The sequence below is a fragment of the Homo sapiens genome, chromosome 1 (genome assembly GCF_000001405.40).
Source record: "Homo sapiens chromosome 1, GRCh38.p14 Primary Assembly".
In the NCBI taxonomy this organism is placed as follows: domain Eukaryota; kingdom Metazoa; phylum Chordata; class Mammalia; order Primates; family Hominidae; genus Homo; species Homo sapiens.
The window spans coordinates 111,286,160-111,313,195 of NC_000001.11; the positions used below are offsets into that span (position 1 = coordinate 111,286,160).

Sequence of the window (27,036 nt, forward strand, 5' to 3'; positions counted from 1 at the left end):
CCTATTTCCCAATGATATACAGTTGCTCCACCAGCACCCAAGCCTGCAGCATGCACTGCTAGTCCTGGATGTTGGGTAGCGGAAGCAGGGGGATTAAAGGAAAATACATGGTCCCTTCATTCTCAAAACATGTATTCAGATGAAGGCTGGGGAGCCCAAGAATGTAAGACTCAGATAACAATGACCCATAAGCAAATGTCATTTTAAAGTGATTGATTTGCCCTTTTGGCTGAGAATGCACAATTAGGAGGCTATTGCAGTGATTCAGGGGAGAGGTGCAGGCTCAGAACAAAGTAGTAGCAGTAGAAGTGGTCAGAGGTGATTGAATTTCAGCTGTATTCTTAAGATTTGTTAAGCCAGCAGGTTTCTTTATGGGTTGCATGTAGAACGTGGGAGACAAAAAGGGGAGCCAAGGATAATTTCAACATTTTGGCTTAAGAAATTGCAAATATGAAATTATCATCAACTGAAATGGAGAAAGCTAAAAGTAGAGTAGATTATGAAGGAAGAGCAGAAGTTCAACTTTGGACATGTTGAATTTAAGATTGTTATTGGGTTTCTAATTGGAGATGTGGAGTAGATAGTTGGACATAACATTTTTAGAGGTAGTTGGTATTTATAGTTGGACATAACATTTTTAGAGGTAGTTGGTATTTAAAGTCAATAGATTAGATGAGATCATTAAGGGAGACAGAGAAAGGAAAGCATTCAAGGACTAAGCCCTGAGCATTTCAGCATTCAGAGGGAGGCTGGAGAGAAGAGTAGGAACAAGTAATGAAGACCAAAAAAGGAGGGCTAAGTGAGGTAGAAGGAAAACCAAGTGTCAAGTATCCTGAAAGCCAAGGAAAGAACCATATTAAGGAGGAGAAAGCGATCAAGTTTGTCAAATACTACTTAGGTCAGGTCAGATGAAGTCTGAGAATTGACCATTATGTTTAACAACCTGTAGATCATTGACAAACTTGACAGAAGTGGGGTTGGTAAACATCTTGGTGGCAAATGCCTGAGTGCAGTAGGTTTCAGAGAGAATGGAAAGGTAAGAATTGAAGACAGTAAGGATACAAAAACCTGTCTTATATGTGTTAAAGGGAAGCAAAAAATGGGATTAAGAATAAAAGATTATGGAAAACAGAAGCTGAATTTATGTTTTCAAACCCACATTTACTTATTTAGAGATATGGGAGATAAAAATCTAACATTCTTTCCATACCTCTCACTTTCTTATTTTTATTATTATTTTCACAGAGTCAAAAAATTTTTTTAACTTAAAAATTTTTATTTTTGGGACAAGGTCTCATTCTGTTCCCCACGCTGGAGTACAAAGGCACGAACATGGCTCAGTGCACCCTCGACCTCCTGGACTCAAGCAATTCTCTAGCCTCAGCCTCCTAAAGTGCTGGGATTACAGGCATGAGCCACCACATCCAGCCCCAAATTTTTAATATCACTTTGTTTTATAACAGAACTGAAGTCCTATATTTAAATCAATGCAATATTCATCCCCTATACTTACACTACAGCTTATCCAATATTCATTTCTTTAATTATCTTGTTGTTTGTTTTGTTTTTGTTTGCCAAGAAGGACTTGGAGTATCTTCCATTTTCTTGCATGTATGAAAGTGCCTGACTGTTGCCTTTATACTTGATTGGTAACTTTTTGGACATAGATATTGGCTCACTCTTTTACTCAAAATTTTGTAAATATTACTGCTTTTTATTCTGGCATTGAATATTGAGCTAGTGTTTTTCCTATGGCTCTTTCATTTACTTTTTCAGGTTTGGATGTTTTGTAGTTGAACAGTTTTTTCAAGTAGTTCTGTGGCTGCCACAGGCCTTAAGTTCTTTTATACGTGAGAATATCTGCCTGTCTCCTCGGTTCTTGAAAAGTATACTTCAAGAATATTATACTTGGTAGAGTATAATACGATAGGCTTGTACTTTCTTTTCCTCAGAACTCTTCAGGTGTAGACAAAACTTCTTAACATTATTTCAAATCATCTCTGCCTTACCTTTTAATTCCAGTTGAAGCTACAGCCACCAATTCTGCATAAGCCTTAATGGTCTTCATGGCGTTATGGAATCTTACCTCAGATCTGTGTTGTGTACTTCTTGCTACCCTTCCTAGGGCTTCTGAGATACAGGTTTCCACTCAAGCAGGTACAATCTAGACATGCAGAGGGGTTACTGTCACTTACAAACATCAGGGAAACGTAATGTTTCCACCTTTCCTCCCCTGATGTTCTAGAAGCACATTTTGTAAGACTTTTAACACCGTTCCAAAGGGATAGAGCATTTAGTTGTTTCTACCAGTGGCTAATATGATAAAAGCATGATTTTATTGGCCCTCCCTTCTTCCCTGTTTCACTCCCCTGTCTCTTACTTATTCTTTGCATTCCACTCCCAAATTACTCTCACATGAGCTACTTCCAGGTGAACTTAGCCTTAGATAGTAGGCATTGCTCCACTGTGTCCTGGCATTGAATATTGTTGTAGGGATGTTTGAAGACAGTGGATAATCACTACCCTTTCTTTAATCCACACTTTTAAAGTTATTTGATTTTTTTCCTGTGAGTGCCTGAAGAATTCATGATTTATTCTTGAAGTTCAATAACTTAACAAGGTTATACCTTGATTATGATGGTTTTTGTCAATTTCTCCTATAAAACAGTTGAGAGGTAAGATTTAACTTGCCTGAGTTAACAGACCTGCAGGCGGCCTCCTGGAAAAGAAAGTTGGCCTGTTGCCTCTGGAAACCAGCTATAATCTATAGCCTAGGTCCTAATGCAATCCATCCTGGCAGAGAGCTGACCATGGTGAATGAGAACTTCAGCCAAGTTTACACCAAGCAGTTGTGCATAATCACGGGGTTGGATTACACCAGAAGAAAGCCAAGTGTTCTCCCAACAGATGAATGCTAAGGTAGTAGATAAGACTGAAAGCCAAGGTTCTGCTATATCATACTGCTATTAGATCCCATATCCTAATCTCACTAAAGAAGAGTTTTGTTAAGAAGCTTAAAAGTCCCAACATCCAAAGCCCAGAGCCTCTTTCTCAGAGCTAGATATGTGCTATGTTAGATTGTTGTATGCTGCCTGAGAATAAAATAAACACCAGAGGATCACTCATCTGCCATCGCTTCTGTCTCTGACTTTTTACCCAGAAGTACTATTCCAGAAAGCCCAGTGTGCATGCTGCTTGGCTACTCACCCTGAATCACTTGACAACTGGTGTAGAGAGCTGGATGTCAGACTAGGGGCACCTACCATGGCCTTCTAGAAGTGAACCAAGGGACTTGGGATTTAAAAAGTGTTTCTCAGATGATCCCATCGCTTTCAAAGATTCGTATGGCAGTCATGGGGACTAGTCCACTAAATTCCTGAAGATACAGAGTGATAAAAGTGATACTGCGTAGTTAAGATCATCGAGCCTAGCATTCCATGATTGTTATTATTGGCCTTGGAAGAATTAGCTCTAAGGAGGCAGACCGAGGGGAACTTGACTCAGCATCTTGAATGAAATTACAATTTGAAAACTTTGGTGAATGTGAAATGATTTATATATGGTCTTATCCAAGCAGGATCAAACAAATTCCATCCTCTGACCCTCTTCCTATGACTGATAGGATCAGTTCAAGATGGCACAGGTTGTCATGTTATTAGGGTGTTATGAGCTCCAGTTAAATGGGTGCAAAGGGAAGGAAAGACAAAGTATGTGACTTATGAGGTTAGTTCCCTCATAACAAGTGAAGAAGATAATCTGAAATAGGCTGATTGAACTAACCGAACTTCTGGGTAGACTCCCACTATAGCTCCGTCTTAGAAAGTCTATGTGATTACTGCTTCTATATAAAGGGTTAAACATGATAAAATTGATGATGGTCCCTATCTTTGTCTATGGAAAAAAATATCCAGTGAGTTTTGGGGGAACTCATGACCCAAGTCATAATAGGAATTTCAGGCTTCATAAAGACATCATGGTTGAAGCAGAGGTGTTCTGTTTCCAGCAAAGCCCAACAGGAAGCTAACTTTTGCTTTTTGAAAGGAGGATTCCCCACCAGACTGGGAAGCAACAGCCTAGGCTCCAGAGTCGGACACTGGACTTAAGTTGTTATCAGATGAATTTGCTCAGCTGCGTACTGTTGTGTTACAAAATCAAATGGCATTAGATACGCTTACCTCAGCCCAAGGAGGGTTTTGCACCTTACTGCATACTGAATGTTCTGTGTATAGCCCTAACAATTCTCACAATATTACTCACAAAGCCATGTTGGGTGTGGTTTTTATTAATTGTGCTTTTAATTCTGCTGTACTTAACCTGTATCTGTAAACTATATCAAATATCCCTTCCCCATGTATCTGTAAGGGTATTTTCCTGCAATTGAGTATCAGATTGAGGCCAAATGTGGAGGAAAAGTTAAATATTAAATTTGAACTCAACTGAACATGGACACAAACAATGGTCACCAAGTCCCGGAACAGGTTGTGTGAGCCCCTTGAGGCGTTCATCCAGCACTGTTTTGGAAAAATCTCTATTTCAATCTAGTCCTATATGTTAGTTATTGAAAAAAATAGACAGTCTCAAAAAACAAGCTGACCTTTTTATGTTCCTTGAACCTAGTTGTGAAGGGCCCTTGTTACTGGGCCTCATGCCAAACAACTCGTTACAAAAACAGCTAGAGTCCCAGACGGTGCCAAAGCTTCATGAAACCTCCTCGTCTGTGCACGAACAGGTGGCCGACTCTGGAGCCCAGGCTGTTGCTTTCCAGTCTGGTGGTGAATCCTCCATAGTCTGGTGAGTGTAAATATATATATATCTTTTCCCTTCTCCCTTTCCCATTGCAATTTGATTGTTATATCAATTTGCTTATTATATCAAGTTGTTTATTATATCGTTTGCTTATTACATCTGCATTGCCATTTATGTGAGATAAAGGTTGTTTACCCTTAAAGGTATTGTGTGTGTGTCTTTTCTCCTCCCCTCACACATCTCTCACACAGATCATTTTATACCCAAAGGGATATAAATCATTCTACTATAAAGACACATGCACACGTATGGTTATTGCAGCACTATTTACAATAGCAAAGACATGGAACCAACTCAAATGCCCATCAATGATAGACTGGATAAAGAAAATGTGGTACATATACATCACGGAATACTATGCAGCCATAAACAGGAATGAGATCATGTCTTTGCAGGGACATGGATGAAGCTGGAAGCTATCATCCTCAGCAAACTAACACAGAAACAGAAAACTAAACACTGGATGTTCTCACTCATAAGATGGAGTTGGAACAATGAGAACACATGGACACCGGGAAGGGAACAAGAAACACTGGAGCCAGCTGAGGGGTTGGGGGCAAGGGGGGGAGAGCATTAGGACAAATACCTAATGCATGTGGGGATTAAAACCTAGATGACGGGTTGATAGGTGCAGCAAACCATCATGGCACACGTATACCTATGTAACAAACCTACACATTCTGCACTTGTATCCTGGAACTTAAAGTAAAATTTTTTTTAAAAAGGGGGGAAAAATATATAGCAAAATGCAACTGGAATTTCCAAATGAATTAGTATTTTATTTAAACATCTATATTTTAAAAATAATTGTAATAATGAGAATACATAGACACAGGGAGGGGAGCAACACACACTGGGGCCTGTCGGGGGGGGGTGGGGGTAGGGAAAGCATCAGGATAAAGAGCTAAAGCATGTGGGGCTTCATACCTAGGTGATGGGTTGATAGGTGCAGCAAGCCACCATGGCACATGTTTACCTATGTAAGAAACCTGCACGTCCTGCACATGTATCACGGAACTTAAAATAAAATAGAATTAAATTAAATCTTAAAAATAGTAATTGTAATAAATTTATATTTGAAACATGTAAGGTATTTAATTCACACACAATGTTTTGTGTGCAAACTCCCCTTTCCCCTATAATTACTCCTCAGCTATCCAAGGACTTGAGGTCTTCAGATTGGGAAAAATAACATTAACTAAAATTTATTAAATAACTAACATGTGCTAGGCCCAGTGCTAGGTAGGTTATCTCATTTAATTCTCACAACAACCCTATAAGACAACAACTAGTATTATCCATATGTAATACATGAGGAAATTGAGGTTCACAGGTGAAATAACTTGTCTAATGTCACATATCTAGAAAGAAGGAGAACAAAAATTGAAATATAAGTTAGCGATTCTAGAGACCATGCTGATATTCTGTTCTGTCATATGGCAACCTTTGTGCTGGACAGATGTGGGAGAATGCTCTCTGCAATTGACTGGCATTGGTTATTCTAACAGTCTTACCCTCTTTGTATGTGAATAAACTGGCATTCTCACTTACATTGACTGCATGGGCCAGTCTCCGTTATCTTTTTTTCCATGTTTTAAAAATGTTTTTCTTGTGGTAAAATAGACCAAAACAAATTACCAACTTAAATATTTTAAGTGTACAGTTCGGTGGTACTAAATACATTCATAATGTTCTTGAGCCATCTCTCCTTTCCATCTCCATAATTCTTTTCATCATGTAAAACTCCAGCTCTATACTCATTAACCTGTAAGTCCCCATTTCCCCCTCCCCCAGCTCCAGGAAACCACTATTCTACTTTCTGTCTCCATGATTTTGACTATTCTAAGTATCTCACATAAACAGAAAAATCATATATTATCTGTCTTTTTGGACTGGCTTTTTTCATTGAGTATAATGTCTCAAGATTCATCCATGTTGTAGCAAGTCAGAATTTCCTTTTAAAGGCTGAATAATACTTTATTGTATGTATATATAACAGTTTTGTTATCCATTCATTCACTGAAGGACACTTGAGTTGCTTGCATGTTTTAGCTATGGTGAGTAATGTTACTGTGAACATGGAAGTACAAATATTTCTTTGACACCAAGCTTTAAGTTATTTTGGGTATACCTAGAAGCGGAATTGCTGGATCATATGGTAATTCTATGTATGATTTTTTTAGGAACTTCCATACTGTTTTCCATAGCAGCTGTACCGTTTTACATTCCCACCAACAGGGCACAACTGCTCCAATTTTTCCACATCCTTGTTAACACTTATTATTTTCTGTTTTTTGATAGTAGCCATCCTAGTGGATATGAGGTGATGTCTCATTGTAGATTTGATAGGCATTTCCTTAATGATTAATGGCATTAAGCATCTTTTTATGTGTTTATTGGCCATTTCAATATCTTCTTTGAAGAAATAGATATTCAAGTCCTTTGTCCATTTTGAATCAAGTTGTTTGGTTGTGTGTGTGTGTGTCATTGAATTTTAGAAGTTCTCTCTATATTCTGAATATCTCTTATCAGATAAACTCTTTGCAAATATTTTCTACCATTCCGTGAGTTGCACTTTTACTCTGTTTGCATTGTCTTTTGATATACAAACATTTAAAATATTCATGAAGTCCAATTTGTGCATTGTATTCTTTTGTTGTCTGTGATTTAGGTGTCATATCCAACAAATCATTGGAAGTCCAATGTTATGAACTGTTTGCCCTATGTTTTCTTCTAAGAATTTTATACTTTTACATCTTACATTTAGGCCATTGATCTATTTTGAGTTAATTTTGCCTATGATGTTAGAAAATGGCCCAAAAACATCAATGGGGCCAGATGTGGTGGCTCATGCTTATAACTCCAGTGCTTTGAGAGGCCAAGGTGGGCAGATTTCTTGAGCTCAGGAGTTTGAGACCAGCTTGGGCAACATGGCAAAACCCTGTTCCTATAAAAAATACAAAAAAATTAGCCAGGCATGGTGGCACATGACTGTGGTCCCAGCTAATCAGGAGGCTGAGGTGGGAGGATTGCTCGAGCCCAGGAAGTCAAGGATGCAGTGAGCTATGATCATGCCACTGCACTCGAGCCTGGGTGACAGAGTGAGACCCTGTCTCAAAAAACAATGACAACAAAGAAAACATCACTGGGATTTCGATAGGGATTGCATTGAATCTGTACATCATTTGGGTAGTATAGACATTTTAACAATATTGAGTCTTCCAACTCATGAACATGGGGCATGTTTCCATTTATTCACATTTTCTTTATTTGAACAGCAGGCTATAGTTTTCATTGTACAAGTCTTTCACTTCATTAAGTTAATTTCTAAGTATTTTATTCTTTTTGATGCTATTGTAAATGAAATTATTTTTATAATTTTTCTTTTTTTATTCTCTTTGTTAGTTTATAAAAATGCAATTGATTTTTGTGTTGACTTTGTAACCTGTTATTTTGCTGAATTCATTTTTTAGCTCTGACAAAATTTTTGGTGTGGAATCTTTAGGGTTTTTCCTATATAAGACCACATCTGCAGGGACAATTTTACCACTTCCTTCCCAAATTGGATGCCTTTTATGTCTTATTTTTGCCCAAATGTTCTGGTTAAGACTATGTTGAATAGAAGTGGCAAAAGAAGCATTCTTATCTTGTTGCTGATCTTAGAAGAAAAGCTTTCAGTCTTTCACCATTGAGTATGATATTTGCTGTGGGTTTTTCAAACATAGCTTTTATTATATTGAGGTAGTTTGCTTCTATTTCTAGTTTGTTTTTATTATGAGAGGGTATTAACTTTTGGCAAATACTTTTTCTGCATCAATTGAGATGATTATGCCATTTTTTTCTTCATTCTTTTAATGTGGTGTATTACATTCATTGGTTTTCATAAGTTAAATCATTTCTTGCATTCAATGAATAAATCCCTCGTGAACACAGTATATAATCCCTTAACATCCTGTTAAATTCAGTTTAATAGTATTTTGTTGAGGATTTTTGCATCAGTGTTTATAAGGGATTTTGGTCTGTAGTTTACCTGTATGTTTATCTGGCTTTGATATTACAGTAATGCTGGACATATAGAATGAGTCAGAAAGTGTTTTCTCCTCTTCATTTTTTTGGAAAAGTTTGAAAAGAATTGGTGTTCATTTGTCACTAATGTTTGGTGGATTAACCTCTCAAGTCATCTGGTCTACAGCTTTTCTTTGTTGGAAACTTATTGCATTTTATGATTTTTCTGAGACAGGATCTCACTCTGTCACCCAGGCTGGAATGCAGTGGCACAATCACAGCTCACTGCAGCCTCAACTTCCCAGGCTCAAGTGATTCTCCTACCTGGGCCTCCCAAAGTGCTGGGATTACAGGCATGAGCCATCATGCCCAGTGTAAGATTTTTGGTTACTAATTAAATCTCCTTAGTGGTTATAAGTCTATTCTAATTTTCTATCTTTTCATGATTTAGCTTTGTTAGGTTTCTTGTTTCTAGAAATTTGTTCATTTCATTTGGATTATCTAATTTATTGGCATACAATTGTTCATAAAAGCCTCATAATCCAACCACTGAGAATTAGGCAAGATGGCCAAAGAGGAACAGCTCCCGTCTGCAGCTCCCAGTGTGATCAACGCAGAAGACAGGTGATTTCTGCATTTTCAGCTGAGGTACCGGGTTCATCTCATTGGGACTGGTTAGAAGACAGGTGATTTCTGCATTTTCAGCTGAGGTACCGGGTTCATCTCATTGGGACTGGTTGGACAGTGGGTGCAGCCCACGGAGGGTGAGCCAAAGCAGGGTGGGGCATCACCTCACCCAGGAAGTGCAAGGCACTGGAGGATTTCCCTTTCCTAGCCAAGGGAAGCCATGGCAGACTGTACCTGGAAAATCGGGACACTCCCACCCAAATACTGTGCTTTTCCAAAGGTATTAGCAAATGGTAGACCAGGAGATTATATCCCGCACCTGGCTCAGTGGGTCCCATGCTCATGGAGCCTTGCTCACTGCTAGCGCAGCAGTCTGAGATTGACCTGTGAGGCAGCAGCCTGGCAGGAGGAGGGGCATCCACCATTGCTGAGGCTTCAGTAGGTATACAAAGAGGCTGGGAAGCTCAAACATGACGGAGCCCATCACAGCTCAGCAAGGCTGGCTGCCTCTATAGACTCCACCTCTGGGGGCAGGGCATAGCTGAACAAAAGGCAGCAGAAACTTCCGCAGACTTAAACATTCCTGTCTGACAGCTCTGAAGAGAGCAGTGGATCTCCCAGCACAGTGTTTGAGCACTGAGAATGAACAGACTGCCTCCTCAAGTGGGTCCCTGACCCCTGTGTAGCCTAACTCGGAGACACATCCCAGTAGGGGCTGACTGACACCTCATACAGGTGGGACGAAGCTTCCAGAGGAAGGATCAGGCAGCAATATTTGCTGTTCTATAATATTTGCTGTTCCGCAGCCTCCACTGGTAATACCCAGGCAAACAGGGTCTGGAGTGGACCTCCAGCAAACTCCAACAGACCTGCAGCTGAGGGACCTGACTGTTAGAAGGAAAACTAACAAACAAAAGGAATAGCTTCCACATCAACAAAAAGGGAATCCACACCAAAACCCCATCTGTAGGTCACCAACATCAAAGACCAAAGGTAGATAAAACCACAAAGATGGGGATAAAACAGAGCAGAAAAGCTGAAAATTCTAAAATCCAGAGCACCTCTTATCCTCCAAAGGATCGCATCTACTTGCCAGCAACGGAACAAAGCTGGACGGAGAATATGTTTGATGAGTTGACAGAAGTAGGCTTCAGAAGGTCGATAATAACAAACTTATCCAAGCTAAATGAGCATGTTTGAACCCATCACAAGGAAGCTAACAATTTTGAAAAAAGGTTAGACGAATGGCTAACCAGAATAAACAGTGTAGAGAAGAACTTAAATGAACTGACAGAACGGAAAACCATGGCACGAGAACTTCGTGATGCATGCACAAGCTTCAGTAGCTGATTTGATCAAATGGAAGAAAGGGTATCCGTGATTGAAGATCAAATTAATGAAATAAACCTAGAAGAGAAGTTTACAGAAAAAAGAGTAAAATGAAACAAACAAAGCCTCCAAGAAATATGGGACCATGTGAAAAGACCAAATCTACATTTGATTGGTGTACCTGAAAGTGACAGGGAGAATGGAACCATGTTGGAAAACACTCTGCAGGATATTATCCAGGAGAACTTCCGCAACCTAGCAAGGTAGGCCAACATTCAAATTCAGGAAATACAGAGAACACCACAAAGATCCTCCTAGAGAAGAGCAATCCCAAGACGCATAATAGTCAGATTCACCAAGGTTGAAATGAAGGAAAAAATGTTAAGGGCAGCCAGAGAGAAAGGTCGGGTTACCCACAAAGGAAAACCCATTGGACTAACAGCGGATCTCTCTGCAGAAACTCTACAAGCCAGAAGAGAGTGAGGGCTAATATTCAACATTCTTAAATAAAAGAATTTTCAACCCAGAATTTCATATCCAGTCAAACTAAGCTTCATAAGTGAAGGAGAAATAAAATCCTTCACAGACAAGCAAATGCTGAGAGATTTTGTCACCACCAGGCCTGCCTTACAAGAGCTCCTGAAGGAAGCACTAAACATAGAAAGGAACAACTGGTACCAGCCACTACAAAAACATGCCCAATTGTAAAGACCATTGATGCTATGAAGAAACTGCATCAATTAACGGACAAAATAACCAGCTAACATCGTAATGACAGCATCAAATTCACACATAACATACTAACATTAAATGTAAATGGGCTAACTGCCCCAATTAAAAGACACAGACTGGCAAATTGGATAAAGAGTCAAGGTCCATCAGTGTGCTGTAATCAGGAGACCCATCTCATGTACAAAGACATACATAGGCTCAAAATAAAGAGATGGAGGAAGATCTACCAAGCAAATGGAAAGCAAAAAAAAAAAAAAAAAAAAAAAACAAGCAGGGGTTGTAATCCTAGTCTCTGATGAAACAGACTTTAAACCAGCAAAAATCAAAAGAGACAAAGAAGGCCATTACATAATGGTAAAGGGATCAATTCAACAGGAAGAGCTAACTATCCTAAATATATATGCACCCAATACAGAAGCACTCAGATTCATAAAGCAAGTCCTTAGAGACCTACAAGGAGACTTAGACTCCCACACAATAATAATGGGAGACTTTAACAACCCACTGCCAATATTAGACATATCAATGAGACAGAAGGTTAACAAGGATATCCAGGACTTGAACTCAGCTCTGCACTAAGCAGACCTAATAGACATCTGCAGAACTCTCCACCCCAAATCAACAGAATATACATTCTTCTCAGCACCACATCACACTTATTCCAAAATTGACCACATAGTTGGAAGAAAAGCACTCCTCAGCAAATGTAAAAGAACAGAAATCACAACAAACTGTCTCTAAGACCACAGCGCAATCAAATTAGAACTCAGGATTAAGAAACTCACTCAAAACCGCACCACTACATGGAAAGTGAACAACCTGCTCCTGAATGACTACTGGGTAAATAACGAGATGAAGGCAGATATAAAGATGTTCTTTGAAACCAGTAAGAACAGAGACACAACGTGCCAGAATCTCCAGTTAAAGCAGTGTGTAGAGGGAAATTTATAGCACTAAATGCCCACAAGAGAAAGCAGGAAAGATCTAAAATCAACACCCTAACATCACAATTAAAAGAACTAGAGAAGCAAGAGAAAACGCATTCAAAAGCTAGCAGAAGGTGAGAAATAACTAAGATCAGAGCAGAACTGAAAGAGACAGAGACACAAAAAACCCCTCAAAAAATCAGTGAATCCAAGAGATGCTTTTTTGAAAAGATCAACAAAATTGATAGACTGCTAGCAAGACTTACAAAGAAGAAAAGAAAGAAGAATCAAATAGATGCAATAAAAAATGATAAAGGGGATATCACCACCGATCCCACAGAAATACAAACTACCATCAGAGAATATTATAAACACCTCTACACAAATAAACCAGAAAATCTAGAATAAATGGATAAATTCCTGGACACATACATCCTCCCAAGACTAAACCAGGAAGAAGTGGAATCTCTGAATAGATCAATAACAGGCTCTGAAGTTGAGGCAATAATTAAGAGCCTACCAACCAGAAAAAGGCCAAGACCAGATGGATTCACAGCCGAATTCTACCAGATGTACAAAGAGTAGCTGGTACCATTCCTTCTGAAACCATTCCAATCAATAGAAAAAGAGGGAATCCTCCCTAACTCATTTTATGGGGCCAACATCATCCTGATACCAAAGCCTGGCAGACACACCACAAAAAAAGAGAATTTTAGACCAATATCCCTGATGACCATTGATGCAAAAATCCTCAATAAAATACTGGCAAACCAAATCTGGCAGCATATCAAAAAGCTTATCCACCACGATCAAGTTGGCTTCATCCCTGGGATGCAAGGCTGGTTAAACATATGCAAATCAGTAAACATAATCCATCCCATAAACAGAACCAATGACAAAAACCATATGATTATCTCAATAGATGCAGAAAAGGCCTTCCACAAAATTCAACAGCCCTTCATGCTAAAAACTCTCAATAAACTAGGTATTGATGGAATGTATCTCAAAATAATAAGAACTATTTATGACAAACCCACAGCCAATATCACACTGAATGGGCAAAAACTGGAAGCATTCCCTTTGAAAACTGGCATAAGACAGGGATGCCCTCTCTCACTACTCCTATTCAACATAGTGTTTGAAGTTCTGGCCAGGGCAATCAGGCAAGAGAAAGAAATAAAGGGTATTCAATTAGGAAGTCAAATTGTCCCTGTTTGCAAATGACATGATTGTATATTTAGAAAACCCCGTCATCTCAGCCCAAAATCTCCTTAAGCTGACGATCAACTTCAACAAAGTCTCAGGATACAAAATCAAAGTGCAAAAATCACAAGCATTCCTATACACCAATAACAGACAAACAGAGAGCCAAATCATGAGTGAACTCCTATGTACAATCACTACAAAGAGAATAAAATACCTAGGAACTCAACTTACAAGAGATGTGAAGGACCTCTTCAAGGAGAACTACAAAGCACTGCTCAATGAAATTAAAGAGGACACAAACAAATGGAAGAACATTCCATGCTCATGGATAGGAAGAATTAATATCGTGAAAATGGCCATACTACCCAAGGTAATTTATAGATTCAATGCCATCCCCATCCAGCTACCAATGACTTTCTTTACAGAATTGGAAAAAACTACTTTAAAGTTCATATGGAACCAAAAAAGAGCCCACATTGCCAAGTCAATCCTAAGGAAAAAGAAGAAAGCTGGAGGCATCATGCTACTTGACTTCAAACTATACTACAAGGCTACAGTAACCAAAACAGCATGGTACTGTTACCAAAACAGATATATAGACCAATGGAACAGAATAGAGGCCTCAGAAATAACACCACACATCTACAACCATCTGATCTTTGACAAACCTGACAAAAACAAGAAATGGTGAAAGGATTCCCTATTTAAAAAATGGTGCTGGGATAACTGGCTAGCCATATGTAGGAAGCTGAACCTGGATCTCTTCCTTACACCTTACACAAAAATTTATTCAAGACAGATTAAAGACGTAAATATTAGACTTAAAACCATAAAAACCCTAGAGGAAAACCTAGGCAATACCATTCAGGACATAGGCATGGGCAAGGACTTCATGACTAAAACACCAAAGGAATGCCAACAAAAGCCAAAATAGACCAATGGGATCTAATTAAACTAAAGAGCTTCTGCACGGCAAAAGAAACTACTATCAGAGTGAAAGGGCAACCTACAGAATGGGAGGAAATTTTTGCAATCTACCCATCTGACAAAGGGCTAATACCAGAATCTACAAAGAACTTAAACAAATTTACAAGAAAAAAACAAACAACCCCATCAAAAAGTGGGCAAAGGATATGAACAGACACTTCTCAAAAGAAGACATTTATGCAGCCAACAGACATGTGAAAAAATGCTCATCATCACTAGTCATCAGAGAAATGCAAACCAAAACACACTGAGATACTATCTCATGCCAGTTAGAATGGAGATCATTAAAAAGTCAGGAAACAACAGATGCTGGAGAGGACATGGAGAAGTAGGAACACTTTTACACTGTTGGTGGAAGTGTAAATTAGTTCAACCATTGTGGAAGACAGTATGGTAATTCCTCAAGGATCTAGAACTAGAAATACCATTTGACCCAGCGATCCCATTACTGGGTATATACCCAAAGGATTATAAATCATGCTAGTATAAAGATACATGCACACATATGTTTATTGCGGCACTATTCACAATAGCAAAGACTTGGAATCAACCCAAATGTCCATCAATGATAGACTGAATAAAGAAAATATGGCACATATACACCATGAAATGCTATGCAGCCATAAAAAAGGATGAGTTGGGCCGGGTGCGGTGGCTCACACCTGTAATCACAGCACTTTGGGAGGCCGAGGTGGGCAGATCACGAGGTCAGGAGATCAAGACCATCCTGGCTAACACAGTGAAACCCCGTCTCTACTTAAAATACAAAAAAAAATTAGCCAGGCGTGGTGGCAGGCACCTATAGTCCCAGCTACTCGGGAGGCTGAGGCCAGGGAATGGCATGAACCTGGGAGGCAGAGCTTGCAGTGAGCCGAGATAGTGCCACTGCACTCCAGCAGCCTGGGCAACAAAGCAAGACTCTCTCTCCAAAAAAAAAAAAAAAAAAAAAGATGAGTTCCTGTCCTTTGCAGGGACATGGATGAAGCTGAAGCTGGAAACCATCATTCTCAGCAAACTATCACAAGGACAGAAAACCATATACCGCATGTTCTTACTCATAGGTGTAAATTGAACAATGAAAACACTTGGACGTAGGGCAGGGAATATCACACACCAGGGCCTGTTGCGGGGTGGGGGATTGGGGGAGGGATAGCATCAGGAGAAATACCTAATGTAAATGACAAGTTATTGGGTGCAGCAAACCAACATGGCATATGTATAGCTATGTAACAAACCTGCACGTTGTGCACATGTACCCTAGAACTTAAAGTAAAATTTAAAAAAAAGCCTCATAATCCTTTTTATTTTTTATAGTCAGTAGTAATGTCCCCATTTTTATTTCTGATTTTAGTAATTTGAGTCTCCTCTCTTTTTTCTTAGTTTATCTAGCTAAAAGTTTGTTGAAATGTTTTATCTTCTCAAAGAACTTTTTATTTTATTGATTTTCTCTATTGTTTTACTATTCTCTATTTCATTTATCTGAGCGCCAGTCTTTATTATTTCCTTCTTTCTGCTACCTTTGGGTTTAATTTGTGTTTCTTTTTCTAGCTCCTTAGGTGTAATTAGATTGTCAATTTGACATTTTTCTTGTTTTTCAGTGTGAATATTTAGAGTTATAAAGTTCTCACTTAGTAGTGCCTTCACAGTATCCCATAAGTTTTGCTATGTTATGTTTTTATTTTCATTCATTTCTAAGTATTTTTAAATTTCCCTTATGACTACTTCTTTAATCTATTATTAAGAGTGTGTTGTTTAGTTTCCACAAATTGGTGGCTTCTACAGTTTCACTTCTATTATCAATTTCTAACTTCACGTCCTTTGTGGTTGGAGAAGATACTTTGTATGATCTCTATATTTTTAAATCTGTTGAGACTTAATTTGTGACCTAATATATAGTCTATACTGAAAAATGTCCCGTGTGCGCTTGGGAAGAATGTAAATGCTGTTTTTGTTAGGTAGAGTATTCTGTATATATCTCTTACATCTAGTTGGTTTATTATGTTGTTTAGGTCCTCTATTTCCTCACTTATCTTCCGTGTGGTTGTTGTATTCATTACTGAGAACGGGCTATTGAAGTTTCCAACTATCATTTATTGTCGAACTATCTATTTCTTCCTTTAATTCTGTCAGTTTTTGCTTCATATATTTTTATAGTGTGTCATTAGGTACATAAATGTTTGTAATTGTTCGATTCTTGCTGTATTAAACCTTGTATTAATATATAATGTCCTGCTTTGTCTCTTGTACATTTTTTAATTTATAATCTATTTTGTCTGTTACTAATATAGCAACTCCTGCTCTCGTTTGGTTACTATTTGCATGGAATACCTGTCTCCATCCTTTCTCTTTCAAACTATTTATGTCTTTAAATCTAAAATGAGTCTCTTGTAGACAGCGTATGGTTGGATCATGTGTTTTAATTGATTCTGCCAATCTCAGTATTTTGATTGAAGCATTAATATATTTATATTTAGAGTAATTACTGATAAAGAGGGAATTATTTCTGTCATTTTAATTATTTGTTTCCTATATGCCTTTTAGCTTTTTTGTCACTCATTTCTGGCATTATTGTCTTTCTTTGTGGTTAGTTGATTGTTCGTAGTGAAATGTTTACATTTCTTTCTCGTTTCCTTATACACACACACACATATACATCTATACACATGTATACACACATATACATATATACATACACACATATATATACACACACATATGAATACACACACATATATAGCTATTTTCTTCCCCATTGGTTACAATGGGGATTACATTTAATATCCTAAGGTTATAACATTCTAATTTGAATTTACACAGGTTTAACTGCAATAACTTAAAAAAACTCTGCTCTTTTACAGCCCCATTCCCTACCCCTTTCAGTTGTTGATGGCATAAAATACTATCTTTATACATTGTGTGTTCCAAAATGTAAACTAATGATTCTTTGAAATGCATTTGTCTCTTAAATTATGTGGAGAACAAAAAGTGGAGTTACAAGCCATTGTTACAATAATACTAGCTTTTATAATTGCCCATGTGTTTACTTTTACTGAGAACTTTGTTTATTCATATGGCAGCAAGTTGCTGTCTAGTGTCTGTTTATTTCATCCTATAGGACTCCCTTGAGTATTTCCTGCAGGACAGGTCTATTGGTAACAAACTACATCAGCTTTTGTTTATCTAGAAATGTCTCATGTTATCCCTTGTTTTGAAGGATAGTTTTGCCAGAAAAAAGATTTTTGGTTGACACTTTTTTTCTTTTAGAACTTTGAATCTATCTGCCAACTGCCTTCTGGCCTCTAAAGTTTCTGATGAGAGATCTGCTGATAATTTTATTGAAGATCCCTTGTATGTGGCCAGTTGCTTCTCTTTTGATGATTTCAAGACTCTCTTTGCCTTTGTCCTTTAAAATTTGATTATATTGTGTCTTGCGTGGATTTCTTTGAGTTCATCTTACTTGGAGTTCGCTGAGTTCTTGGATGTCTATATACATGTCTTTCATCAAATTTGGGAAGTGTTAGGCCATTATCTTTTAAAATATTCTGTCTGCTCCTTTCTTTCTCTTTTATTTTTCTTGAATTCCCACAATGTATATGTTGGTCCACTTGATGGCTTTTCACATGTCCTTTAGGCTCTCTTCAGTGTTCTTCAATTTGTTTTCTTTCTGTTCCTCAAACTTAATAATTTTCACTCTCCTATCTTCATGTTTACCAATTCTTTCTCCTGTCAGTGCAAATCTGCCCTTGAACCTTTCTAGTAAGTTTTCCATTTCAGTTATATTACTTTTTAGCTCCAGAATTTATTTTCTGTTTTTGTCCAAATTTTTAAAAATCTTATTATTGAAATTTACATTTTGTTCATACATCATTTTCTTCATTCTCTACATCCTTTTTTTAGAGCATATTCAAGACAGTTGTTCTAAAGTCTTTGCCTAGCATATTTGCCATCAGGTCTTTTTCAGAGACATTTCTGTTGATTTATTTTTTTCGTTTGAATGAGCTATACTTTCTTGTTCCTTTGTATGCCTTGTGATTTTTGGTTAAAAACTGGACATTTGAATCTAATAATGTGGTATCTCTGAAAAGCAGATTCTCCCCTTTCCCCAGAATTTGCTGGGGGTTTTTTGTTACTGTTTTGGTTTCTTGTCTTTTTTGTATTTTTTATTTTTTAGAGATGTGATCTTTCTGTGTTGCTCAGGCTGGCCTCAAACTACTGAGTTCAAATCTCCTCCCAGCTCAGCCTCCACAGTAGCTGGGATTACAGGTCACTGCACTTGGCTTTGGTTTGGGGTTTTGTTTTGTTGTTTTTGTTGTAAGGTATCTCTGTGCTGAGAATAAGCCTGAAATATAAACTTAAGATCTTCACAGGTCTTTTCTGAGCCTTTCCTTGGGCATATGCAGTGACTTTCTAATTCTCCCAGTATATACAGTTGTTTTTTAATGTCCTAGTGTTTGATGTCTGGCTTCCAAATGTTGGAAAGAGAAAAATAAAGGAAAGATAAGAATGGTGCCAACCCTTTACATTGCCCAAATGTTACTTCATCCAGAGGGGAAGTAGCTTGCAACAATGGGGGGAGGTGCAAGAACAATGACTGCCTACCTCTTTGTCTGCACCTTTGTAATCAGAAGCAGCAATCAGTGATAAGAGCACAGATCTCTGATAGTTGAAGGACATAGTCCTTTTTTGCCCACCCTGGCTCCCACAAGCTCTGTATAAGCTGCTCCTGGAACACATGCACAGCTGCCTGCCTTGGGGCTTAGTGGTGGGGGAAGAATATCTGCTACTGTGCTAAGAACTGAAATTGACTAAAATTAACTTCAATTTACCTACGAAGCTTTCTTCTGAAGTTGCAAGCCTTTAATAGACTCTAGAGTTCCAAAGTAGTTGCATCAGACAAATTCTGCCAGTAAAATTTTTGTCTAGGAAGGGAGACAGATTCCTGGTGCTTTCTACTTTGCCATCTTCTCAGAATTCGTTCCTCATTTTCCTTTTATGTGATTCTCCTTTAAGCTAAGCATATTGGAAAAGAAGAAAGAAAGCTGCCATTATTCTCAGATGACATAGAAACCAAAAAATGCGTAGAAAAGTATTTAAGCTAATAATCATGTTTAGTGATATTGCTGGAATTAAAGTTTTTATATAAAGATTAATTGCATTTATAGAAACAAGTAATAAATAGAAGATGCAGTTTAAAATGGTACCATCTATAACAGAGACAAAATATATAAAAGATCTGTAATTTCTTAAGATGTGAAAGACTACTATGGAGAAAGTTATGAAACTTTATTAACAGACACTTTCAAAGATGTAAATAACTTGACAGGCAACCCATTTTCATGGAAAACCTTAAAATCATGAAGATTTTCATTTTTTCCAATGTTATTCCATGTAATTCCAATCAAAATTCCAATGGGGTTTCTTATGGGATTTTTATGATAAAACTAAAATGAAAGCGTAAAAGGCCAAGAAAACTAAGGCATTCCTGAAGATGATAAACAGTGTGTGTGAGTTGGAGGGTGGGATACCATTAGCTATGACAGGTCTGAGGAGTGGTAGAAATGGCATTTCAAATTAGCGTGGAAAAGATGGGTTATTAAAATTATGCTGGGGCAAGTAGTTACCCACATGGAAAAAATGAAATTGGATCAAGTCTATGCACTACACACAAAAGATAAATTTGATAAATTAAGAGCTCAAATTTAAAGGTGACATTTAAAATTTTAGAAGAAAATATAAAGGATATTTACATTCTCAGAGTAGGGAGAAATTTTTCAAATAAGATTCCAAAAAATCAAACTATAAAGAACAAGTGGTGTGCATTTGACTTTATTAAAATTAAGAATTTATTTTCATTATAAGGCACCATAAAGAGAGTGAAAAAATAACCCATAAAGTTGGAAAAGATATGTTCAATGCACGTAACTGAAAAATAATTACAATCCAGAATATATAAAGCATGGCTATAAAAATTAATAAACTTGTGGGCAGCACAATAGAAAAATGGGCAAAAGATACAAGCAGGCATTTCACAGAAAAGGAAACAAAAACAGCCAATAAATGTCAAAAATGCTCAACCACATCAGTAATTTGATAGATATAAACTAAAACTACTCACCTTAATGACACAAATTTTAGTCTGATGATTAAGTTTTGGCAATTTTAGTCTGATGATTCAGTTTTGGCAAAGATGTGGAGTGATAGGAATTCTCATACGTTGCTGTTGGTAGTGTAAATTGATATAACTACTTTGGAAGAAACTTTCTAGCTAAATAGTAAATTTTAATATGCATGTGTTATTTCACTGGGCAATTCCATTCCTAGGTGTAAACACTGGAAAAACTGTTGTAAATGAGTACCAAGAGACATGTGTACAGGAACGCTTATATAGCAGCATGTAGAAGAAAAATACTGAAAATAAAGCATATGTTGTTACACATAAAAAGGATAAGTAAATCACAGCATATTTGTATAATGGAATACCATAGAGCTATGAAAATAAGTGAACAGCTGCTACTTGTACCAAGTGGATAAATCTCAAAAACAATGCTGAGCTAAAAATGCAAGAAATAGAAGAATGCATATGGTATTATTTCATTTCTATAAAGTCAAGACTAATGAATATGTTGAAACTAATATAATAAAGTGATTATAATAAGTGAATATAAAACTAATGAATGTATCATTTGGGGAAACAGACATATGTGATAATACTATAAATGAAGTAAGAAAATAGTTCAAAACTCAGAATAGTGGTTACTCCAGGGGAATGAGGAGCATTTAACTGGGGAGAAGTATGTAGGGTAATAGTCAAAGTTAATGTTATTTTTTAAGTTAGGTGATGGAGAAAAGGTTTTCATTTTTACTTTTTTTTTTTTTTTCTTGAGATGGATTCTCGCTGTCGTCACCTGAGCTGGAGTGCAATGGCACTATCTCAGCTCACTGCAACCTCCGCCTCCCGGGTTCCAGCAATTCTCCTGCCTTAGCCTCCCAAGTAGCTGAGATTACAGGCACCTGCCACCACACCCAGCTAATTTTTGTATTTTTAGTAGAGACGGGGTTTCACCATGTTGACCCAGCTGGTCTCAAACTCCTGACCTCAGGTGATCCACCCGCCTTGGCCTCCCAAAGTGCTGGGATTACAGGTGTGAGCCACCAGGCTTGGCCATATTTTTCTTAAAATGTATACCTAAACTCATGTGTATGGTAGATTTTACAATTAAAGAAACTAAAAATAATACAAGGTTATTGAAAACAATAATGTAAAAGGATACACATGGTCACAGTTTAAAACTATTCATTCTATGACTCATAAACGCAGTAATTCTTTCCAATAACCAAGTGCTCAGATGGGATGCAAGTTTGCTGGGGCTCTTAAGGAGCTATTAAAAAGAAATGTTTAATCTGTAGGTCATGTCATTTATTTAGAACTGGGGATGCCAAATTCAATAGAAAATACCTCACTAGCTATAAATGGTAGCTACACCCTATAGTCCTGAATACGATAAACCTGGAGCTACTGGCTTTGCTGTTTGTTTTTGCAAATCCTTGACTTTGATTTGACATTCTCTTTGGCTCAACTGTATTCTCTTGACTACCTTGGGAAAATGCCTCACTCAGTTTAACTTGGGCCAAAAGCTTGCGTACTTAACACAGGGATCTGGATCTGGTGTTTAATAGCTGATTAATTTTCTCATCAGCAAAATTGGTGTGATAGTAATAATCCTCTTTATAGGGTAAAAGAAACAATAAAGTCAAGCCCTCTGATGATAGTCATTTTTTTTAGTCACTCAGCTTTACTTTTTATTCTTTTAGAATTTCATTTTGTGACCAGTCCTTGTGAAAATGTAAATCCAAGTGCCCTGCCCTTTCCCTAATTGAGGGTCTGGTGTCATACAACAATATGCTTTTTCCCCAGGATTTAATTCTTGTCATTCATAGATGGAAAATAAAATTGGAGTTTATTTCTCCTAAGCCTTCCTCCCACACCCCTCCCCATAGAAAGACTTGGTTTCTATTGTATTAGAGGCAGGTTCTGTATTCTTTTTGATTCTGTGAGTTTCTTCATGTCTTTCAAATATATTGATTTGTGCTTCTTAGAGTTGGTTTTGATTGCTTACAAAATTAAAGCCTAAGTGATATAAGCACCAAATACAGTCTCTGGCACATAGTAGGCACTTGTAGTGTTTGTTGATATGATTATTTTCACAATTGAAATGTTCCCTGAACAACACACACTAGGGCCTGTCAGTGGGGGTGGCACGAGGGAAAGCATCAGGAAAAATAGCTAACGCATGCTGGGCTTAATATTTAGGTGATGGGTTAATAGGGACAGCAAACCACCATGGCACATGTTTACCTATGTAACAAACCTGCACACCTTGCACATGCACCCTGGAACTAAAATAAAATAAAAATTTTTCCTGGCAGCACTTCTATTAGACTTTCTCTGGTTCTGAGAGTAGAACAAAACACTTAACCTACCAATCACAGGAAGAATGGATACAATTTAGTTTCCAAATGTGATAAATGGATAAACCTGTCTGGACTCACAAGAACTCTGCTAAGGTGCTGAAATCCCATAATGATCACCCATATTCCCGCCAACTGCATTCCTGGTATTGTCACAAGACAGCATCATATAAGCAATACAGAAAATATGTGCTAGAGTACATAAAGTAAATCAAAAGAAGGAGAGAGCATTAAGATAGAAAAGATCTGAGTTGGACTTTGAAGAACTGCTAAGATTGGGATAGGCAGTGAGGATAAGGAGACACTGCAGGCAAGACATTACAGGCAAGGAGTGGAGGGATACCTTGAGCAAAGACATGCAAGGCATGTTTGAGGGCAAAGAATAGTCCTTTGGCCAAAAGAGAAATGTATTATAGAACAATGGTAGTGAATTATGTTTGGAAGGGGTAGATTGGAGTTAATTTAAATACAAAGTTCCAGAAACGGTCAAGTTGCAAATATTTCTATGAAGAGACTCATTTCAATATCATCTATATTATTTCTATCCATTAGCAACGCAGTTTTTAGGGGATGTAATTTGAAACTACAGAACACTAGAGAGTTCTTGGTGACCTTTATAGGGGACATTTTGAGATCCAAACATTCTTAGATAAAATTATCATTTAGTCATGACTTGAAGCCATTCCAAAGAACATGTGTGAGTAGAATATTGAGAGAGTAGCACCTAAAGAAGGAAGATTTCTTAGGCACTGATTGTACAAATTACATATGAATAATTCCATGAGGAAAAAAAGGTTTAAGAACAGCTAATAACTTCCAAAGTTTCTTTTTATTTATTTTTCCATAAAGACTTGCTTTGATGCCAGACACAAAATGTCCACAATAGAAAATCTGACCACAGTATCTAAACAGTTGCTTATCAGCCCTTGGAACTGCCAAAAAAGCTATTAAACTGGTGTTTTCCATGGTGATGGTCTCCACCACCCTGTTAGGAGCCATGACATTGTTCTGTCCTTGTTGGGCAGAGAAGGTGGTGATGCTGGTGGTGGGAGGGTGTAGGTTGAAGGTCTTGGGAGGGTGTTTGTAGAAGAGAAGGTCCGTTGATTTACTGATTAACTACATACACATCTGGGTCAAATTGTTCTCTATTTAGAAGCCTTTGTGATAACCACAGAATCAGAACATATAAAAAGCTCTGCGGGACTGGTGCTGACTGCAACCATGACAAAGCTTATTCTCCTCACAGGTGGGTTTGTAATCAGAGATTGACCCTTCATCTTATCTAGTTTCTTTTTCTCTCACAGGCTCTGAAAATCATGAAGTGGTCTTCATACTACATCCCTATACTTTTCCATTCTTCTTTCATCATTTCAAATTTCAAATGAATCTTGTTATATACAAATCAGTCTGCCTCTTGTTCTCTTAACTTCAACTGACTCTGGTAACATTTCTGCTTTTGTTAATCCCATGGACCTGGTCCTAAAGGAAAAGCATACTTTCTCCTAGTGCTAGTCTTACTCTTTCATCTTTTGTTCAGCCATTCATTTTTCTTTACTCTTCTTCCTACGCCATCTCATTTTAATTGGAATAATGTTTATTTATTTGCTTGTGTCCTTGGACTAGCTTTTCTGGGGAAGAAAATCAGTAGGAACTGAGATAGAGTTATGCAAGTTGTCTTTGTTCTGCTGTTTTCAGAATTATTTCTCTATTTACTCCCCTATTATCCTACTGAGTTGATGATGTACCATAAACATGTTAGAAATTAAATTATTCAAAGAGGTTGATTCAGTAAGTTGTTTAGAGACAAGTCATACCAAGAATTTATTAGTTGCTCTAGAGCTGGGATTTGCAAACTGTTTAAGCTTCAGAACCTTTTCCAAATGAAACCTCAAGCTCAATTTATAAAACAATCAGAGTAGAAGAATTGCTTTGTAGAAGTCAGGGAAAGGTATCTGGAGTCTCACCCCATAGTTCCTAGCTCTTCTCTCCTCATATAAGGCCTCCTGAAAGTCATTCCAAAAAACCACTAAAGGCCAGAAGATACTGAATTCTCTGATTTAGCAGATGCCTTATCTGTTGGAAGGCTGTGTTCTATCACTCAGGTAGGGGAAGAACGAATGGATGTGTCATCATTGACTACAGTGATCAGTTGGTGATTTCAGTAAGTACATCTTCCATAGATAGTAAACTTCGGACTCAGCATTCAGGAACATTTATTTGTGACAAGAAAGGTGTGAGACGAAGGTACCACGGTCATTTTTGATAAAGGTGGGGAAAGGTAGATCTACTGTTGTATTCACTGAAAAGCCTTTGGAATCACCACCAAATCTCACTGAGGTTGTAACAATTTATGGCAAATTGGAAGGCAATCAATCCTTCAGAATTAGATTCTACGGGGTACAGACAATCGGTTCAAAGTACATGCTTTTTCTTTCTATCCAGGTCTTGTCCTTATACTGAATTTGCAGCTCGGTAAGTCATGGACTCCATGTTTTATCATTGAATGTATATATACGAGATAAACCATACTATGGAAAGAGAGCCGCTGTTTGCTTCACAGACAGATGGGTTTGATTTGGGAGTAATCTAGTGTTTTGGATTGGCTGTCACTGCTATCCTCTTCAGCATGACCATCTGAATTATAAACTGGTACTCACTGGGCTTCATAGGACTATGGGCATCTTTTCTTAGAAGGCTGCTAGCTAGGCTTATCCAAAATCCCAAAATGAGTCTGTGAAAGTTAAAAATAAACAACTCCAAGTTAGTGACCAGTTCTGAGTTAGAATCTTAGGATGCATTTGCAAGAGTGTTCATACTAATTACCTCCACACAGAGATCAGGCATCTGAGGCACAGGGAGGGAAACAGAGGCAAGGCCAAAACTCACAGCACACTTCAGTGGATCCTAAACCAGGCCATTGTCCCTCCTGCTGACTACACACAGGCTCTGCCTACCAGCTGACATGCTACTTCACCAACTGGGCCCAGTACCGGCCAGGCCTGGGGCGCTTCATGCCTGACAACATCGACCCCTGCCTCTGTACCCACCTGATCTACGCCTTTGCTGGGAGGCAGAACAACGAGATCACCACCATCGAATGGAATGATGTGACTCTCTACCAAGCTTTCAATGGCCTGAAAAATAAGTAGGATGAGGGAGATATTTAATTTGGCATCCCCTTTTTCAGTACTTCCCAAACATTAATGCTTCTTAAAATGTAGTTCAGATCCATGGATCTGAGATGGGGACCAAGACTCTGCATTTCATTTTTCTTTTATAACTGACAAAAATTGTATGTGTTTACTATGGACAATGTAATGTTTTGAAATATGTATACGGTGCGGAATGGCTCAATCGAACTATCAACATATGCATTTCCACAAATACTTAATGTTTTTTGTGGTGAGAACACTTAAAATGTACTGTTTGCAATTTTCAAAATACAATATATTGTTACTAACAATAGTAACCATGTTGTACAATAGACCTCTGCAACTTATTCCTCATTTCTAACTGAAATTTTGTATCCTTTGACCAACATGCCCCCCAACCCCCATCCCCACACCACCCCCAGCCTCTGCTAACGACCATTCTACTATATACTTCTATGAGTTCAACTTCTTTTAGATTCCACTTATAAGTGAGATCATGTGGTATATGTCTTTCTGTGCCTGGTTTATCTCACTTAACATAATATCCTCCAGGTTTATCCATATTGCTGCAAATGACAGGATTTCTGCCTCTTTTTTAAGACTTAATAGTATTCATTGTATATAAAGACCACATTTTCTTTGTCCATTCATCCATTGAGGGGCACTTAGATTGATTCCACATCTTAGCTACTGTGAATAGTGCTGCAATGAACATGGAAATTCAGATATCTCTTCAACACACTGATTTCATTTCCTTTGGATGTAAACCCAGTAGTGTAACTGCTGGATCATATGGT

At 37.8% G+C, this 27,036-nt stretch overlaps 1 protein-coding gene across 8 annotated transcripts in view; it reads left to right on the top strand.

Annotated features, from left to right (window-relative positions):
- The first annotated feature begins 4,691 nt into the window (after positions 1 to 4,691).
- Positions 4,692 to 27,036, top strand: part of CHIA (chitinase acidic) — a 29,713-nt gene continuing 7,368 nt past the window's right edge. For 4 of the 8 annotated variants that reach the window (NM_001258004.2, NM_001258001.2, NM_001258005.2 and 1 more), the window contains exons 1-3: positions 4,692 to 4,791; positions 24,241 to 24,333; positions 25,530 to 25,559. Coding sequence is in view for 1 of the 8 variants with exons in the window: in NM_201653.4 (NP_970615.2) it covers positions 24,309 to 24,333; positions 25,530 to 25,559; positions 26,031 to 26,232 (257 nt within the window). In the remaining 7 variants the exon portion in view is untranslated. Of the gene's footprint in view, positions 4,792 to 24,240; positions 24,334 to 25,529; positions 25,560 to 26,030; positions 26,233 to 27,036 lie in introns of all 8 variants that reach the window. The other 4 variants (NM_021797.4, NM_001258002.2, NM_201653.4 and 1 more) reach the window with 3 other exon arrangements.